This window comes from Homo sapiens, chromosome 8 (genome assembly GCF_000001405.40).
Source record: "Homo sapiens chromosome 8, GRCh38.p14 Primary Assembly".
Taxonomy (NCBI): Eukaryota; Metazoa; Chordata; class Mammalia; order Primates; family Hominidae; genus Homo; species Homo sapiens.
The window spans coordinates 7,078,242-7,097,165 of record NC_000008.11 but is presented as its reverse complement, the minus strand read 5'-3'; the positions used below and the strand labels follow the sequence as shown (position 1 = coordinate 7,097,165).

The window sequence follows — 18,924 nt, the reverse complement described above, 5'->3', positions numbered from 1 at the left end:
CTCCCAGCATAGTAAGACTTGCTTCTCTGGATGGGCTCGAAATGTCCAGTGTGTACCCTGCCCCTCTCTGTCGTAGCTAACAGGAATGGCTTCATGTCTTCTTCCTGCTCAAAGGACCATCCACCAACCTGTGCAGGCAGCACTTTTGGCCAGGGGAGGATGCGAGAACTTCCCACCATTTCCCACTTACACACTGCATTCCTCAGGAGCCTACCCCACAAATTACAAGAGCGCCACAGCAGACACAACACGTTCCAGCAGGTGGCCATGTCTTCATGTCAGCTTGAAAGATCGTCACCAGGGAAATATCTATATCTCGGCAGAGAGAGCTTCAGCCTGTGTAGTCCAGCTGTGCTCAAATGGAAATCCAGAAACCCAGATGTTGGTCCAAACACCCTGTCTCAGGGAGCTGGCTCTGCAGGTCCCCAGCGTGGGAGTGAACTGGGTGGGCCACCTGCCCTGCCTGTCCACATCCCTGCTTCCTGGAATCCTGGACCCTGAGAACCAGGGGTACATGGTGGGGAACAGGCAAGTCTTGTGCAGAAAGCCAAGATGCCACCCAAATCCACTCTGCAGTCTAGGTGGGTGATATTCTGCTCTGCACCACACCAGTACATGAGGGGATGGAGGATGGAGTCTAGACAACCCAAATGTAGAAACATATTGCCCAAGTATTTTGTGCTTTGTCTGTGTTACAATGCTATGCCCAGCCCAGGGTGGTGGCTCACACATGTGATCTCAGCACCTTGGGAGGCCGAGCTGGGTGGATCACCTTAGGTCAGGAGATTGAGACCAGCCTGGCCAACATGGTGAAACTCCATCTCTACTAAAAATACAAAAATTAGCCAGGTGTGGTGGTGGGCAACTGTACTCCCAGCTACTTGGGAGGCTGAGGCACGAGAATCACTTGAGCCCAGGAGGTGGAGGTTGCAGTGAGCGGAGATCATGCCACTGCACTCCAGGCTGGGCAACAGAGTAAGACTCCATCTTAAAAAAAAAATAAAGATAAATAAATGCTATGCCCAGCATTTTCAATGTACTGTCTTATTATCTCAGTAAATCCCATGTAACCTTCCTATGAAAGTGTATCTCATTTATCTCCATTTTATAGATGAGAAAACTGAGGCCCCTGGAGTTGTATTAATTTTCCAAGACTGCGTTGCTGATAAAGAGTACAGCAGGGACCCAAGCTTGACACTCTCACCCTCAAACATTTCCACAAGTGTAGACCAATGGCTGTCAACTGGAGTGGTTTGGCTCACATACAACTCCCTTGCTCCACGGCATTTGAAACCGTCTGGAGACATCTGGGGTAGCCATAACTGGGAGGGTAGAATGGTACCTAGAGGATGGAGACCACAGATGCTGCTAACCATCTTACAATACACAGGACAGCCCCCCCCCACCACCACCACCATGAATGATCTGACCCCAAATGTTGTGACTGTGCCAAAGCTGAGAAACCCAGGTTTCTCCTCAGCAGGAAGGGAAATCCCTGCAACGTGGATGCACCTCTGCAGGAAGCCCTCTGCAGGAGCCCCAAGCTGAGAATAACCTTCCTGATCTGGTTTCAACCCTGGATGCTTTCAACTGGTGCGTCCATCAAGGATTTCAGGGACTCCAGTGAGTTATTACCCTTGAATGCTCGGTTCTGCCTGACAACCCAGAAGTCTCTGACAAGATGCCTGGTCTTGGGGAAGGCTCAGCAAGTGGTTGAGGTTGATAACCAAATATCTAGGAGAGACTTTTCTCTCCCTCCAGGAGGAGCTGTGGGTCAGACACACCCTGGGATCATTCACAAGTTGTCAATAAAGGCTTGGGGAGGGCCAGGTTTTCTAGGCCTTCTCAATGGGGTCGGTGTTTGTGGATACACAAGAAGCCTGTGAAACTTCTGATATTGGCAGGAAATCAATGCCCCCCACCCTCCACCCCCCCACATCCCCACTATAAACACATGCCCTGCAGCAGGACTTGCAACACAGGGGCTCCTGGGGTCCCGATTTATCTACTAAAACATCCTCTAGACACCATCGAATAAAGCAACCCCTTGCCACCCAACCACAAGATCACACCCTGGGAGCCACTCCAAGGGACACCAAGTCACATTAAAACCTCAGCCATCCTGAGCACCAGGCCTGGTGATGAGAAAGAACATTTTACCCTTAAAAGCATCTGAATGCCCATGCTGCTTCTTACAGAGAAAAGTCCAAAATAATCTGCTATTAAGGAACGAGGATGGTTTTGACATTTTTACCAAGCTAGTGGTCTACGCAGACAAAATCTCATAAAAGGGCACTCTGTTCTTCTTGATCCACTCAGACGTGGCCTGTGAGTGAAGAAACGGGCTCTCCTCCTCAAAGAAATCACTGCTGATCCTCGTACCAGCCTGACACTGCTTCATGGGTTCTTCAGAAAGAGTATTCCCATAGAAACTAAAAAGGAAGAGGAATGTGTCTGGCGGGCATTGTGGGCAGCAGTGGGCTTTGGGCCAAATTTTAAGTTTGAAAATCAAGATTCCCTCTTTTCGAGGGGCCGCTGGACTGAGCAGATACAGACACCGTGAAAAGAGGGTACCATGTTCAGATTCAGGAAACAAGGATGGTTTCTATTCAGTTCCTCCATCATGCTTCAGGTCATGCGATTCCCATTACCCTCTGTGGACCAAACAATTCAGTGGGGTTTCTGTCTTTTAAATATTTCATTATCAACATATCATCCTTTTAGCCTCCAGAAAGCATTTTAACATGAAGATTCTGGCTTAAGACTCTTGTGGGTCTGTCTGTCTCTCTCTCTCTCTCTCTGTCTTTTCCTTGAAACAGGATCTCACTTTGTCACCCAGGCTGGAGTGCAGTGGCATGATCACAGCTCACTGCAGCCCGACCTTCCAGGCTCTAGCAATCCTCCCACCTCCACCTCCAAAGTCCTTGGGACTACAGGCACACACCACCATACTTGGCTTTTGTTTTGTTTTGTTTTTGTTTTTGTTTTTTTGGTAGATATGAGGCTTCACCACGTTGCCCAGGCTCGTCTTAAACTGCTGGGCTCAAGCGATCCCCCCTTCACCCTCTCAAAGTGCTGGGATTATTGGCTTGAGCCACCACGCCAGGCCAAGGACCTTGTCTCTTGTGATGCACCCCAGAACAAAACATCACTGCAAAAACACACTAAGGCATGAGTTTCAGTCCTAAGTCCCATTTATCCGCCATACACTATGTGCCAGGCACAACGCTAAGTGCTTCTATGGACGAGTTTCCCTTAATCTCAGCAGTAACAACCGCAGGCACTGGGGTCTCTAGACAGATCCATTTGCCACTGAAGACAGTAAGGCTCATAGAGGGTAAGTGGCTTGTGCCATGTCAGCCAGCGAAGGAGGGGCAGAACCAGGATCCAAACCCCAGCCGCCTGGCTCCAGACTCCTGTTCCCAAGGTCCCACTACGCTTGGTCACCCTACTGCATTATGGTATCCTGGTCTTTGGCAGAGTCCACGTAAAAGAAGGAGGTAGAGGGAGTGACAGGGACTTTACGCAATAAAGTTTCGTGGTGTTACACTGCCACCGTAATTGTGTTCCCGACCAGTACCTCTCCCTTCTCATCCTTTCCGTGATCGGCCCTGGAAAACCTTCCAGAGAACTGTCCTCCTTCTCCCGGGATCTCAGAGAAAATTCACCTGAGTTCAGTGTCCAGGTGACCCAAGCTCTGAATGCGGTAACGTGCACAGGGAGATGAGGATGTCACCATGAGCAAGCCTCCCAGACAGCATCCAGGAGCAACCCCAAGACTGGGCAGGGGGGCTCTGATGCAGCCCACGGCGAGGAGGGCTGCCCGTGCTGCCTAAATGGGTTCAGAATGCAGGCCGCCCTCTCTCCCATGTGGGGCTCATTAACCACGAATCCAATTATTAAGACAAGCTCAGTTAAGTAAATGGTCAAACATAAAAACATGTGGAAGGAACAAAGAGGTCAACCCCATTATCCATCAAAAACCATCAAGGGGGCAGCACTCACTGAGGGGTACAGCTCTCCAGCAGGCCTTCATCTGCCCTCCAAACTCACGTGCCTCCCCAGTGGAAGGCCAGCAAAGCCACACAGGAAGAGTTGGGGTAGGAAAGCAGAAAGTGAACCCCAGGAGGCCAGGCTGGCCACGGAGCCCCATCCCACACACACAGGCCCGGTGACTCAGGGGCCCACGTGTGCAGGACACCGGGAGCTCATAGGGACAGCGCCCCGGGGGATGCAAGGAACTTTGCCTCTCTGTCCCTCTCTGTAGGGATGGAAAGAGAACAATTTCTGGGATGGAAGCCATCTGCCTCCTCTCAACTCTGGCTGCCCAACTAGAAAGGGAAAAAAAAACAGGAAGATGCGGGACAGGTGAGGAGCTGGGTGAGCGCCACCAGCCCGCAGCCCAGCAGAGCAGGGCTTGGCCAAGCCTGGCGCCAGGGACTTCCCCCCTGCCCCCACCACATGCCCCTCGCCAGGTGAGAGGCACCGACAGACTCCCAGACAGATGTCCCAGACAGGATGCCCAGCGCAACACCCGCCACTTCCCCTGCTGGGGGCCCCCAGGACACGGGGCTGCCCCTCCCCTTTTGGCCAGCCACAGAGTCCAGCGGGTATCCCAGCCAGGGACCTCGTGGGAGAATCAGGAAGTCGAAGCCACACAGCCGAGAAGGGGCAGCTGGCGTCTCGGAGGCCGTCACGAGCTGTCACTCCGCGCCCGCCGGACTTGCCGCTCAATTACCAACTTCAACCCGGGACCGGCCACGGAGCCTCCCGCCGCCTCTACCCCGCGTCCCCGGCACCTCCGCGCCCCCGGCAGCCCCGGACCCCCGCGCCCGCGTCACTTACTCCTCTGCCGTCGCCACCTGTCTAGGTGCCGGTCTCCTCCCTGCCCGGCCGCAGCGCGTCCTCCCCGTCCTCGCAGTCCTCGGGCTGTGCGCTTCCCCCCTCCAGCAACAGCCGTAGCCTCTTCTCTTCGGGAGGGACGTCGTCCTCCTCCCTCCTGGGCCGGCCATCCCTGCCTCGGGGCTTGCCAGTGGCTTCGGAGCTGCCGGAAGGGCTGGCCATGGCTCCAGGGGCTCTGCCTGCACTTGGGAAGAAGAAGCACCCGGCGCGAGCGGCCTCTCGGCGGAGCTGGGGCGTCTGAGCGCGGGCTCGTTGGGTCCGCGCGGCGCGGAGCTGGGCATCCGGCTGGCGCGGGCTCCTCCGCGGGCCGCTCCTGGCTCTCTGGCGCCCTCTGCTGGCCTCTCCCGCGCAGCGCGGACACGCCGGGCCCGGGACTGCGCCGCTCTCACCTGTCCTGGCCCAGGCGGTCGCTGTCCCTTGCCCGTGGCCAGGCCCGCTCTGGCCAGGCCCTGCACCTCCTCCCCGCCCCAGCCAGGTTGCACCCCGATAGTCTCCCTGCCCAAGGAGGAGAGAAGACAAGGGACGCCCGGATAGGGTGGATATCGGCCACAGCCACCTTGTCTTTGCTCTTACCCTGTTTCTTCCATGATTTGGAGGGGGTGGGAAACCCGAGGCTGCTCAAAACTCGTGGAGAATTCCGCCTGCAGGATGACATGAATGCACCTTCGCATTGCCTACCAACAGATCTTTTTTGAGCATCACTGTGGACCAGGCGTGGTGATGGGGGAGGGGATATTGCGGTGAACATGACAGGCATTGCCTTCATCCAGTGGGGCTCAGCGCTGGGTGAGAAGGCATTGAGAATGGACATTGTCAATTCGGCCAAAGGAGGCCAAGGAGAAGTGCTGGGGGCATGGGAACTGAAAAAGACAGGAGGCTCAGCCGGTCTTGCAGCTGGGAGAGGGACAGCAGCAGCGGCTGTTCCAAAGGAAGCAACAGCTGAGAGAGGTCTCAGAGAGTTGTTCTCAGCCCAGTGGAGGGTGTTCAGGCAGAGGGAACAGCGTGTGCAAAAGCCCAGAGGCTGGGAAAGAAGCAGAAAGAGGACTGTGGGGCTGGAGCGTGGTGGGCAAGGGGCGACAGGCGTGGTGGGCGGACAGATTGCCTGGGACCCAGCCGTGCAGGGGCAGAGGAGATAGGGGATCCTTGCAGACCCTCAGCCAGGGCTCAGGCACAGAGACAGTGCAGGTGGGCAAAGGGAGGAGACGTGGAGAAATATTTTGGAGGCATGCCCTGATGAATGAGCCCAGGATGCACCCTTAGTGTCAGTGTGGAGCTCCTTCCTTGGCTGTGTGATGAGCTGAACCCGGGCGTATTTTCTGGACATCGAAGTGCTACACCCAGAGTCCAGGACAGGCTAAGTGAGCACCAGCAGCTCCTGGCCCATCTCAAAAGCAGGAGAGACAGGGGAGACTGGGGAGGCCAGGGAGGAAGGGGAAGCCAGGAAGTCAGGAGAGGCCAGGGATGCAGAGGAGGCCAGGGAGTAAGGGGAAGCCAGGAAGTCAGGAGAGGCCAGGGATGCAGAGGAGGCCAGGGAGGCAGCGGAGGCAGGACAGGCTGGGGAGGCTGTGTCCTTTCCATGATTCTGCCCAGGATCCTAGGCCCCTGTACTCCCTGAGCTTCCCCACCGCAAGCGCTGGAACCATGTTGCACAATGGTCTCCCCACTGAGCTCCTGATGGCAGCCCCTACACTGCTGTGCTCCCTATTTCAACCCTAACAGCTCTCACAGTGGGCAGCACATAGTAGGTGCTCAGGAAACACTGGTGGGAGAGCACGTGGGTCTGCTCAACTCTTTCCTCTCTCCTCCAGCTCTCCCCTGTCACGAAATAATTCTGATAACGACACATGGGCTTTGAGACCCTCTTCTATTACTTTCCAAATGCTAATCCATCTATACCTCACAGCAGCCCTGGGGGTGGGTGCAATGAGGATTCCCATTTTATAGAGGAGGAGACTGACATATAAAGAGGGTAAATGACATAGGCACACTACAAGGGCTGGGGCCAAGTGGTCACAGCACTCAATCCCCAAAGGCAAGGTGGATGCAGTTACCATAAAAGACAGCAGAGTCAAAGCTGCAACCAGAATAGCCTGACTCGCAGAGACCTATGGTGCCAGCTGATCGTGGCTTTCCTAGAAGTGAAAGAGATAAGAAGCCTGCCACATTTTTACTTGATCTGTGTTTGCAGAAGAGTTCTAGGTCAGGTGAGCAGAAGTGTAATCTGAATCATAAAAACAGAGTCACAGTCTCCCGTCAATTCCCAGACGTGAGCCAGTTCACAGACCCGGAGTCACTTGTCTGAATGGGAAGCCAGGTTCCCTCCAGAAAGGACTCTGCTACACTGCCAAAAATTAATACTGTCCATCTTTCTCCCAGCCTGCGCCCAAGGGAATACACAGCCTTTTACCAGGATGACTGAATAGGAGAAAAGGAACTAATGGGACCTGTGCAGGATCACTGGACACAGGCTCTGAACTGGCACTAGGGTGAGACTAGGGTCTACTAGTCAGAATAGGCATTTTGGAGGTCAGGTGAATGTTGGTGCAAGTTCATGTCATGGTAGATCCATTGGGTCCCCAAATCCAACCTCTGGTTATATACAAAGTGGCCATGTTGAGATTTAAATTCAGGGTATCCAACTTAGAGGCTGGGCTCTTACTCATGAAACATTCTGACACTACTAACCAATTTAAAAATGCAAACACCTCCTGGGGCTAGCCAGAGTACTCCAAACAGTCATGTAAATTGGTTCTGTCAAGGATTTCCTCCTACACACCCCCCCCACCCCAACCCGAGAGCCAGTTGCAAGGAGAGACTAGGGAAGGGCATTGGGTAACTTTGTTGCTAAAAGTCTTCTGGATAAAGAAGAGCTTTATCCAGGAAAAAGAAGCAAAATAGAGTTCAGCAGAAGTTGAGAAAAGAAGCAAATAGAGTTCAGCAGAAGAGGTAAGAAAGTAAGTTTATGTTTGACCAGGCATGGTGGCTCACGCCTGTAATCATAGCACTTTGGGAAGCCAAGGCAGGCAGATCACGAGGTCAAGAGATCACACCATCCTGACCAACATGGTGAAGCCCCGTCTGTACTAAAAATTCAAAAATTAGCTGGCCATGATGGCACAGGCCTGTAGTCCCAGCTACTCGGGAGCCTGAGGCAGGAGAATCACTTCAACGCAGGAGGCAGAGGTTGCAGTGGGCCGAGATCATGCCACTGCATTCCAACCCGGTGACAGAACAAGACTCCATCTCATAAAACAAAACAAAACAACCAAAAAAGTAAGCTTATTTTTAAGCCTGAACAAGTGTAGTGGTTTAGGGGTTCTGCAAACACGGCCCCAATCAGGCTACAGTATGTAGTGGCAGCAATATTTACACCCAGTCACTCCTGGCCGGCTGAGCCACTTTTCAAAACACCCTTGCACGGCTGCGCAGAGCGACTGGCTCCACTGGCAGCCAGCAGAGCCATAACTCACACTGTCACCACTGCCCTCAAACCCCTTCGGTAAGCACGTTTTTTGAGACGGAGTCTTGCTCTGTCATCCAGGCTGGAGTGCAGTGGCACAATCTCGGCTCACTGCAAGCCCCGCCTCCTGGGTTCATGCCATTCTCCTGCCTCAGCCTCCCAAGGAGCTGGGACTACAGGTGCCCGCCACCATGCCCGGCTAATTTTTTGTATTTTTAGTAGAGATGGGGTTTCACCGTGTTAGCCAGGATGGTCTCAATCTCCTGACCTTGTGATCTGCCTGCCTCGGCCTCCCAAAGTGCTGGGATTACAGGCGTGAGCCACCGCGCCCGGCCTGGTAAGCACTTTTAATCAATGCAACGGGAATAAACATTTGCAGCAGAGCGGCAATGTGCAGGGAGGAACATGCTTCCACTCAGGCTCAGAAAGCAAAACCTCCTGGCTGTTTATGTCTCTGCAAGAGCTCACAGCAAAAGCCCTCTGTGTGGCTGCCAGCCTCACACACTCCCCCCAAGGGATGAGTTTCTCTTTCCATGTTAATCTATGTTCTGTCGTGCCATCTGTCAACCACCACACCATTCTCAGTTGACATTTCAAAGCATCTTTGCCCTGTGAATGGTCACCAGCCCTGCCCTGCAAGCCCCCAGCTGACATTGAACTGAAATGAGAGAGAAAACAGGCTTCGGGGTGGATTTCAGTTCAGCATCTTGGAGTCTCTGTGTGGACATGAAATCTGTCTCCCCAGCTGTGGGCTGCATCTTTGTTTGTCATCTGGCTTGGTTCTTGGGGACTTGGAAACTCGTAGGCACCTTTGCAATTTGTCAAGAAGCTGCACGGCCCTTCCAACAAAAGCAAGGAATAGGAACAGAAGCCCAAGGCTTCAGATCAAGGTGCAACTTAAAACAGCCTCAGTGTAAAAGCAAACAAGAGTCAGAGGGATGCCTAAGGCAGAGTCTAGTTCCCAGGGCAGCTATAAGGCAAAGAGAAAGAGAGAGAGGACAGAGACAGAAAGAAGAGAGAGATGGGAGGAGACATGAGGCACCCAGTCCTCTGGATCAAAATCCCTACAAGAGGGGCCTCCTAAAAATGCAGGAGGCTGAGGTGGGTGCACACAGAAGTTCAAGACTAGCCTGGGCAACATAGCAAGACCGTGTCTTTACAAAAAATACAAAAATTAGCCGGGTGTGGTGGTGTATGTCTGTGGTCCCAGTTACCCAGGAGGCTGAGGTGGGAGGATGGCTTGAGCCCAGGAGGTAGAGCTGCAGCGAGCTGAGATAGCACCACTGCACTCCAGCCTGGGCAACAGAGTGAGACTTCATCTCAAAAAAAATTTAAAAAATTTTTAAAAGGATCACCCTGGCTACTTGAATGGGTAATTAGAAGGTAAGAGCAGAAGCAAGGAGACCAGCAGGGACATTCTGCAGGTGGGAGTCCACAGTGGCTCAGACCAGGCTGACGCTGAAGACTGGCTGAATTCTGTATATATTTTGATGATGAAGCAACTCACCGACTCTTGAAGAGTGGGCTCTAGGAGACTGCATTTTTAACAAGCTCTCAGAGAATGCTAATGCAGGCTGCAGTTGCAGAACTGGTTTAGGTGAAGCTTCTGTTTCATCCTTGGGGAAGTACCTACTGACTTTTCTCTAAGCCACCTCAAAAGAGGTGCTAGACAAGATGTGCTCCAATGTCTGAACATGTGTGCACAGCTCTAGAGCCAACCTCAGGACACTGAGTCAAAGGTTAGGAGTACAACAGTGAACAACCACTGTCCTCTTTTCAATGAGCTTTGCATTTAATGAGAGAAATAAAAAGCAAAAAAAAAAAATCATTTTCAACTCAGAATGGTAAGAGTTATGGTGACAGTATGCCTGGGGCAATGGGAGCACATAGAAGGGGCACCCAATCGGCCAGGTGCAGTTGTTCATGTCTGTAATCCCAGCACTTTGGGAGGCCAAGGTGGGTGGATCACTTGAGGCCAGGAGTTCGAAAACAACCTGGCCAACATAGTGAAATCCTGTCTTTACTAAAAATACAAAAAAATTAGCCAGATGTGGTGGTGGTCACCTGCAATTCCAGATACTCAGAAGGCTGAGGTGGGAGAATTGCTTGAACCCGGGAGGCGGAGATTGCAGTGAGCCAAGATCGCGTCACTGCATTCCAGCCTGGGTGGCCAGAGCGAGAGTCCGTCAAAAAAAAAAAAAAAAAAAAGCCCGGAGGTGGGTGGGCATGCAATCTCTATCAGGTGGTGAGAAATCCTTCTCCACCACAGGACTCCTCAGTTGAAGACTAGAAAATGGTAGGAACTAGCCAGGTCGATAGGAGAGGTGTGGAAGATCATTCTCAGCAGAGGGAAGAGCATGTGCAAAAATCGAGACGTGAGAGGGTGAGGAGCTGAGAGATGTTCATATAATTGTAAAAAGTGACTAATGTAGAGGTAAGTTGGAGCCAAATCTTAAAGGCTCTTTGTCGTGTTTATCCTGTAGACAAAGGGAGACAGTAGATGTTTTTAGGCAGGGGAGTCATGATCCACTTTGTGCTAGAAGAAGAGCAGTCTGGCTGAAGGAGAGTGGGAGGTGAGTAGACCAGGTAGGAGGCTGCAATACACCAAGTGAGACAAGATGGTTGGCTGGACCAAGGCTGTGGCAGTGAGGATGGAGAGGAGACAGTAGACTAACTTGACTGAGAAAGAGGGAGGAATGAAGGAGGAGGCCCAGGTGTTTTGGAAGCTGGGTGGATGGTGGTGTGGATCTGATGTGGCGAGCCCAGGCCGAAGAGGAAATCAGGAGAGGCAAGGTAAGATGAGATCAATGCAAGACAGACAGCCAAGTGGAGATAAACAGTGGGCAGTTGCATTCATCAACCTGGAGTTATACAGAGAGCTCTGGAATGGAAATAAAGAGGAAAGGACTTTGGGAATAGGTGAATCCTCCCTGAATAACGTGTAGAGAAAGGAGAATAGAACACAGGGGACAGAAAAAGGGAAGAGATTTGTTATTAAAAGCAACCATCCATCAGACATCTTCCAATAAAACACTTGTTAGAGGTTTCCTCAGTGTGAGTTATACAGGACCAGAGCTAAAGACCATGTTCACAATAAAATCACTGCTGGGAAGGTCTTCACGAAAACATTTAATGCTGCTTTTAAAACAACAACAACGAAAAGTCTTTAGCTACTGCACAGAACCTGGAGCAATTTTTTGGCAAGAGTCTATCAAACACGAATCTGATCTGATTCAAGGAGTTGCCATACCAAGTGTTAAAATCCAATTCCAATGTCCATAAGAGCCTTTCTGCCAGGTACAAGACCCTAATCCAGTTGAAGTGATTTTCTATTGATTAATAGGCTGGGAATACATAGGTTGTTGGTTTTTGAGAGTTCCCTCCCTGTGCCTTCTTGCCAGCTGTAAAGGAGTCAAAAGGCTCCCAAATGTCAAAATAAAAACGACACTTGGTCACAGAGGAAACAGATTATAGGACTTTTTAACCATGAGGAGCTATTAATGTTACTGAATAAGCAAATCTGTTTGCATAACCAGATTTTTATAGGCTACTGGGAATAAAGGTTTTCCTAAGTGGGTGATTTGTACAATGATAGCCTTTGGGTCTCTGATGGAAAAGCTCTGAGGAGGAAATGTTCCTTTAATTACGTGGAAGGCCAAATATGATGTTATAGCCACACCGTTTTGCAGATTGCATATAATTTCACCATTACATAGCTTCAGTACTCTAATTCTGGAGAAAATGCAGTCACCAAGAAGGCACTTGAGGCACATTATGCTGGAGATAAAGATGTTTCAGCGAATTTAATTTAAACTACAACATTAAATTTATTTTGTTGAATAAAACATAATGCAATAATGAGTTTGTGTATGTCAACTCTATAGTGGAGGTAATAATAGCTAGAGAGAGCATGTCCCCTCTCCTCTTTTTCATGCTCATTAGACTAATAGGTAATGCTATAGAGAGAACATTTCTGTAATATGTGCTTCATCTCAGGCTAAGCCTGAAAAAGGTAAAGGAACTAATTTGGAAGCCATTCACAAAAGTGCTACCCCTTGATGTTATTTCATATTCTGAGATTTCTTATTCCCAGTGCCTACCAGGAATGGACTTTCTGGAGAAGCTCAGATTAATCACTCCTTATATACTTGGCACTGGGGGGTCTGTATGGAGCAAGTGAAGAAATCAGCAGAGTGAAGATAGACGGAGAACAACATGATGGGGGAAAGGCAAAGTTACTGCCATGTTGGTTTCAATTCTGCCACTCATGAGTGAGACCCATGACCTCCTCTCTCTAGGACTCTGTTGTTCTTATCTGTACAGTGGAGGAATAGAAGGGCCCTTTAAAGTATTAACATTTCCTGCCCTCTCTGTAAGACACTTTCATTCAAACTGATGGGAATCTTGACTACTTTGCCAAGAGGACATAATAATCATCAAGCTGAATGCACCAAACAACATTGCCTGAAACTATCTAAGCAAAAACTGAGACAGTTACACAGGACAGACAAACCTCCTATGAGAGTAAGAACTCTTCAGCATATGCTTAGTGTGTCAAAGACAATGCTGCGTTCACACCATTCCTCTTCCTGGACATGCAGAAAGACTACATTTCCCAGCCTCACTTGCAGTTAGTTTGGAACCATGTGACTGCATTTCCACAAATAGGAAAAGAAGAAATCACTTCTGGGCCAAGGTTACCAAAGGCAAGTGTGAGCTATGTTCCCTCTCTTCCTATCCATATGGCTACAAGTGAAAAACTCTGAGATGGCAGAATTAAAACATGGAAACCTCCAAGATCTCTGAATCACTGTTGGACAAGGGCCCCCAAGGAGAACCCCTGCCCTGCACCAGATTATGCTATGGGTGCCAACCAACTCAGAATTCAGGGTTTATTTGTCTCAGCAGCATTGTCCAGTGTTACATTGACTAACATCCTAAGGTTTGAGAGATCTAGCATATTGTTAATTGAAGCTAGATTTCAATTACACTGAGAACCTTATCTATTTAAAAATAAAAACTCCCCTAAAAAACAAATAATCCACATTCCTTTTAACCATATGTGGCACATTTGCAAAAAAAAAAAAAAAACTGGCCACATATTAGGCCCCTAAAGAAGTCTCAACAAAATCCACTATACGATTGACATTGTCCAGACCACAATTTCCTCACCATAATGCAACAAAATTAGAAGTCAACAGCAAGAAGATAGCTAAACACAAGCATACATTTGGAAAATTAAAAATATCCTTTCATGAGTTAAAGGAAAAATCACAATAGAAATTACTAAATATTTACAACTGAATGAAAACAAAACTTTATTTTTATATATATATATATATAGTGTGTGTGTGTGTGTGTGTGTGTGTGTGTGTGTGTGTGTGAATCTTCCAACTTTGTTCTTTTACAAGGTTATTTGGGAAATTCTGGGTCTCCTGCAATTCCTCATACAGTTTTATGCTGTTTGTCAATTTCCGTGGCTGGGGTGAACTTGTCGTAGTTCTCATAGACCAGGGTCTGCATGTCGCTGTCTATAGCCCGGATCTGCCGCACCATGTCCGTCTCACTGTCCATCAGCTGGGCCAGAGGGCACACTCTATGCAGCTTGTCTAGGTAAACTTCCGGGTCGAAGTGCGCCCTGTTCAGATCAGTGCGGTCCAGGAGGTCGGGCCCCGCGGGGAGTCCCGCTGCCTCCCCTTCCGAGAGGCCTTAGTAAAGCTTTACCATTCTGTGCGCCTTCCACCGACGCTCCGTGAGCCTCCCCCTCAGGCCCTTCTGGGGAGTCCCCAGGTCCAGACCCCGGGCTAGTGCCAGTGGCAGCTGCCGCCGCCATAGCTCCAACTGCAACCCATGGTCGTAACTTTTTATATTTTTAAGTTGCATACATCAAGCTACTTGGCTTTTGCTTTCATCACATCATTGAGGAAAGCGGTGGTTGCTTATGGTACCCCTGTTTTTACTGCAACCTGTAATGGATGAGAACCTCCCTGTTGCGGAGAGCAAAACACTGAACTAAATTGTGCTGTAACACAGCCCTGTCTTGGGGGATTGGGAGTGATCATGCAAACACTTGCAAATTTGCACAGTGACAGAGGCAACTATTTGGGCAGCTGTTCACTATATGAAAAGGCAATTGACCAAAAGTCAGTTACTGAGCTATCTCAACATTTTCATGTTATTTTAACTTTTGGCAGCAGGGTGCAATTAAAGGAGAGAAAGAAAACAAAGTGATAACTGTAAGATAATGTACACACATGTGTAAAAGAAAATGACAAGACAGGATGACTATTTATCTCTTGGTGAGCTCCTTGGGCTCTATGTCTCCTTCCTGAGAGAACCTCGTTTTCCTTTGTCCAGATTTGTTAGGGTGGATAATCCAGGCGCCTGCTTCCCCACGATGGAAGCCAAAGACGTCCCTGGAGCCGCCTCCCGCTGCATCCTTTCCTGCACTGCCCACATGGACACAACTCAGCCGATTAGACTTCCTCTCAGAACTTTAGTCTTGAGCAAAGGGATTCAAGGGTGAAGTGACTGAAGATCTGCCCTTCCAAAGTGGTACGTGAGCTAATGGCTAAAGTTTACCAAGCCCTTCCAAGCACTTTTTTTCTTAATTTTTATTTATTTATTTTTTTGAGACAGAGTCTTGCTCTGTCACCCAGGCTGGAGTGCAGTGGTGTGATCTCGGTTCACTGCAACCTCTGTCTCCCGGGTTCAAAGAAGTCTCCTGCCTCAGCCTCCCCAGTAGCTGGGATTACAGGCATACGCCACCATGCCTGGCTAATTTTTTTTTTTTTTTTTTTTTTTTGTATTTTTAGTAGAGACAGGGTTTCACCATGTTGGCCAGGCTGGTCCCGAACTCCTGACCTTGTGATTCGCCTGCCTCAGCCTCCCAAAGGGCTGGGATTACAGGCGTGAGCCACCGCGCCCAGCTTCAAAAAGTTTTAAGCAGAGCTCAGAGGTCTTAACCACAGGAACATCGGAGGAGAATTTTTGAAATGCTTTCCAGCTTCCTCAGTAGGAATGGAAGCCAAACTCCGAAATGATGTCCCCTTTGAGGAAGTTGAAGGAAAGCCAGGAACAGGGGCAACGGAGAGATGCATCTTGAATGATCCTGTGCCAATTCTTTCTGGAATCCTTGATGTGATCTCAGCTGTCCTTTCCATACTTGACACAGTGACTGCGGCACCCACTGGTCTAGCTGTGGTCTACAAGGAACCCCCAAAGGGAAGGGCACAGTGAGCAGGGGCAACCGCCTGAGTGACAAGGATTTGAGAGGGCAGGTTGGATGCAGGGAGAGGACTGGCCAAATGCCATGTGTCTGGACTTAGACTGCCTGGTTCAAATTGGACTTCACCCTTTTTGACTTCATGATCTGGTACGAGTTCTATGAAAATGCGTTGCTCCTTTTCTAGTCTGTAAAATTATCATGAAATGTGCACTAATAACTGGGAGACTATGCAGATGAAATGAAACAAGCTGCATAGAGCACAGAGCTCAGAGCTTGGCCTTTAGGAAGCCCTCAGTAAGGGTTCATGATGCCATGGTGTCTGTCATCATCCTCTTTATCCTCATCATCACCTTCATCATCTTTTTGTTGTTCTGAGGGAATAGTTTAGAGGGACTCATTCCCTGCTATCATGGGTGAGATGTCTGTGAAAAAGGCAACCAGTGGGGGAGGAAAGCAACATTTTGAATAAGATTTCTGAGACCCCACCACAAAGAAGAACAGAAACTCCACAGTCTGCTGAGCAGACAGTTTGCACATTGATCTCCTCCCATCTGTCCACCGCACTCTCCTGTTTGTCCTGATGAGGAGGAAAGAAAACAAGCCTCCTGACCGCCCCTCAGCACTCACTTTAAGGGGTGGCCTGCCCCTCCACACCTGTGGGTATTTCTAGTTGGGTGGGATGAGAGACTGATAAAAGAAATAAGACACAGAGACAAAGAATAGAGAAACAACAGTGGGCCCAGGGGACCGGTGCTCAGTGCACCAAGGACCTGCACTGGCACCAGCCTCTGAGTTCCCTCAGTTTTTATTGATTATTGTTTTTATTATTTTAGCAAAAAGGAATGTAGTAGGAGGGCAGGGTGATAATAAGGAGAAGGTCAGCAACAAACATGTGAGCAATAGAATCTATGTCATAATGAAGTTCAAGGGAAGGTACTATGACTGGACGTGTACGTAAGCCAGATTGATGTTTCTCTCCACCCAGACATCTCAGTGGAGTAAAGGCAGCATTGCTGCAAACATGTCTCACCTCCCACCATAGGGAGGTTTTTCTCCCATCTCAGAATTGAACAAACGTACAATCGGGTTTTATACCGAGACATTCAGTTCCCAGGGGCAGGCAGGAGACAGCGGCCTTCCTCTCTCTCAACTGCAAGAGGCTTTCCTCTTTGACTAATCCACCTCAGCACAGACCTTACGGGTGTCAGGAGGGGGACGGTCAGGTATTTCTCATCCCACGAGGCCACATTTCAGACTATCACATGGGGAGAAACCTTGGACAATATACCACTGTCAAGGGCAGAGGTCCCTGCCGCTTTCCACAGTGTATTGTGCCCCTGGTTTAATGAGACGAGAGAATGGCGATGACTTTTACCAAGTATAATGCTTGGAAACATTTTGTTCACAAGGCATGTCCTGCACAGCCCTAGATCCCTTAAACCTTGATTTCATACACCACATGTTTTTGTGAGCTTCAGGTTGGGTCAAAGTGGCTGGGGCAAAGCTACACATTAACAACATCTCAGCAAAGTGATTTTTAAAAGTATAGGTCTTTTTCAAAATGGAGTCTCTTATGTCTTTCCTTTCTACATAGACACAGTAACAGTCTGATCTCTCTTTCTTTTCCCTACACTCACTGAACTGCCCTTCCCCTCTGCTGGGCCATGACCACAGAGAACAGGTCCACTGTCCTCCCTGGGTGTTGCACGATTGAGGCTCAGACTCCGTCCTCAAGGCTGGCCAGAAGACAGGGTGAGACATGAGCCTCCTAATACAGGTGATGGGTGTGGAGCCCACAGGACTGGAACCTCACACTGCAGGGCTGGAGGCACAGACTGAATATTTACTATTCTGTGGCCTCGGGGGCTCAAGGCACAGAGCTCCTCATTAGCCAAAGTCGCTCAAGTTCCCCAACCTCTAAGAATTTCCTCATAATAATGCAAGAAGAAGAAGAGAAAAGTGAATGTGCATAGAAGCTTTGGGGCTCTTCCTCTAATCAGGAGAAAGCTGGTGTGTATTATTCGCTTCTTTCTTTTCTTTTTAAAGATCCAACTGTTTTAATTTTCATCTTTTATTATGGGAAAATATACCACGTATAAATATTAAAAATTATAAATATATATTAGTTCATATAGAATGGCCAGTATACACATTTACAATTTCCACTCTTTTTCAGTTTACAGTTTAATGACATTAAGTACATTCACATTGTTTAGCAACCATCACTGCCATCATCTCTGAAAGAGTCTTATCTTTCAAAATGGAAATTGCACCCATTCTCCAACCTCTCCACTCCTCTCTCTCACCCACCCCTGGGGGTCACCATTCTAGTTTGCAACTCTATGAGTTTAACTACTCTAGACACTTGATAGATAAGTGGAATCATACCGTGTTTAATTTTTTTTTTTTTGGAGACAGTCTTTCTCTGTCACCCAGGCTGGAGTGCGGTGGTGTGATCTCGGCTCACTGCAACCTCCACATCGCGGGTTCAAGGGACTCTTGTGTCTCAGTCTCCTGAGTAGCTGGGATTACAGGCGTGTGCCACCACACCCAGCTAATTTTTGTATTTTTAATAGAGACAAGCTTTCATCATATTGGCCAGGCTGGTCTTGAACTCCTGACCTTAAGTGATCCGCCTGCCTCAGCCTCCCGAAGTGCTGGGGTTACAGGTGTGAGCCACTGAGCCTGGTCGTGTTTATCCTTTTGGGATTTCTTTATTTCACTGACGACAATGTCTTCAAGTTTCATCCATGTTGCGGCCTGCATCAGAAGTGCCTGTCTGTTTTTTTTTATTTTGTTTTTTGTTTGTTTGTTAGTTTGACTTTGTTTTGTTTTGTGTTTACATGGAGTCTCACTCTGTCACACAGGCTGGAGTGCAGTGGCACAATCTGGGCTCACTGCAACCTCCGCCTCCCGGGTTCGAGCGATTCTTGTGCCTCAGCCTCCCGAGTAGCTGGGACTACAGGTACATGCCCCCACGCTCATCTAATTTTTTGCATTTTCTTTAGAGACAGGGTTTCACCAAGATGGCCAGGCTGGCCTTGAATTCCTGACCTCAGGTGATCCATCCACCTCGGTCTTCCAAGATGCTGGGATTCCAGGCGTGAGCCACCACGCCGGCCAGAAGTGCCTGCCTTTTGAAGGCTGAATAGTCTTCCACGGTATGAATGAACTGCAGTGTGCTTTTCCATTTTTCTGTCCATGAACCCTTGGGTTGCTTCCACATTTTGGCTGTTGTGAATAATGCTGCTATGAATATGGGTGTACACAAATCTGTGTTACACTCCTGGCTTCTAATTGTTTTTGGTAGGTACCCACAAATGCAACTGCGGGA

At 49.2% G+C, this 18,924-nt stretch overlaps 2 pseudogenes, besides 2 other annotated features; both read right to left on the bottom strand.

Annotated features, from left to right (window-relative positions):
* Nucleotides 1–2,266: 2,266 nt before the first annotated feature.
* Nucleotides 2,267–14,195, bottom strand: LOC107986875 (translation initiation factor IF-2-like; annotated as a pseudogene).
* Nucleotides 4,381–5,074: an enhancer, noted in NCBI's record as "H3K4me1 hESC enhancer chr8:6949614-6950307 (GRCh37/hg19 assembly coordinates)". NCBI's record gives its function as "activates a minimal SCP1, AML or CMV promoter by ChIP-STARR-seq in naive H9 embryonic stem cells {active_cell/tissue: H9 hESC(naive)}" and the evidence as "EXISTENCE:reporter gene assay evidence [ECO:0000049][PMID:30033119]".
* Nucleotides 7,348–8,107: an enhancer, noted in NCBI's record as "OCT4-NANOG-H3K4me1 hESC enhancer chr8:6946581-6947340 (GRCh37/hg19 assembly coordinates)". NCBI's record gives its function as "activates a minimal SCP1, AML or CMV promoter by ChIP-STARR-seq in primed H9 embryonic stem cells {active_cell/tissue: H9 hESC(primed)}" and the evidence as "EXISTENCE:reporter gene assay evidence [ECO:0000049][PMID:30033119]".
* On the bottom strand, nt 13,838–14,195 carry VPS51P14 (VPS51 pseudogene 14; annotated as a pseudogene).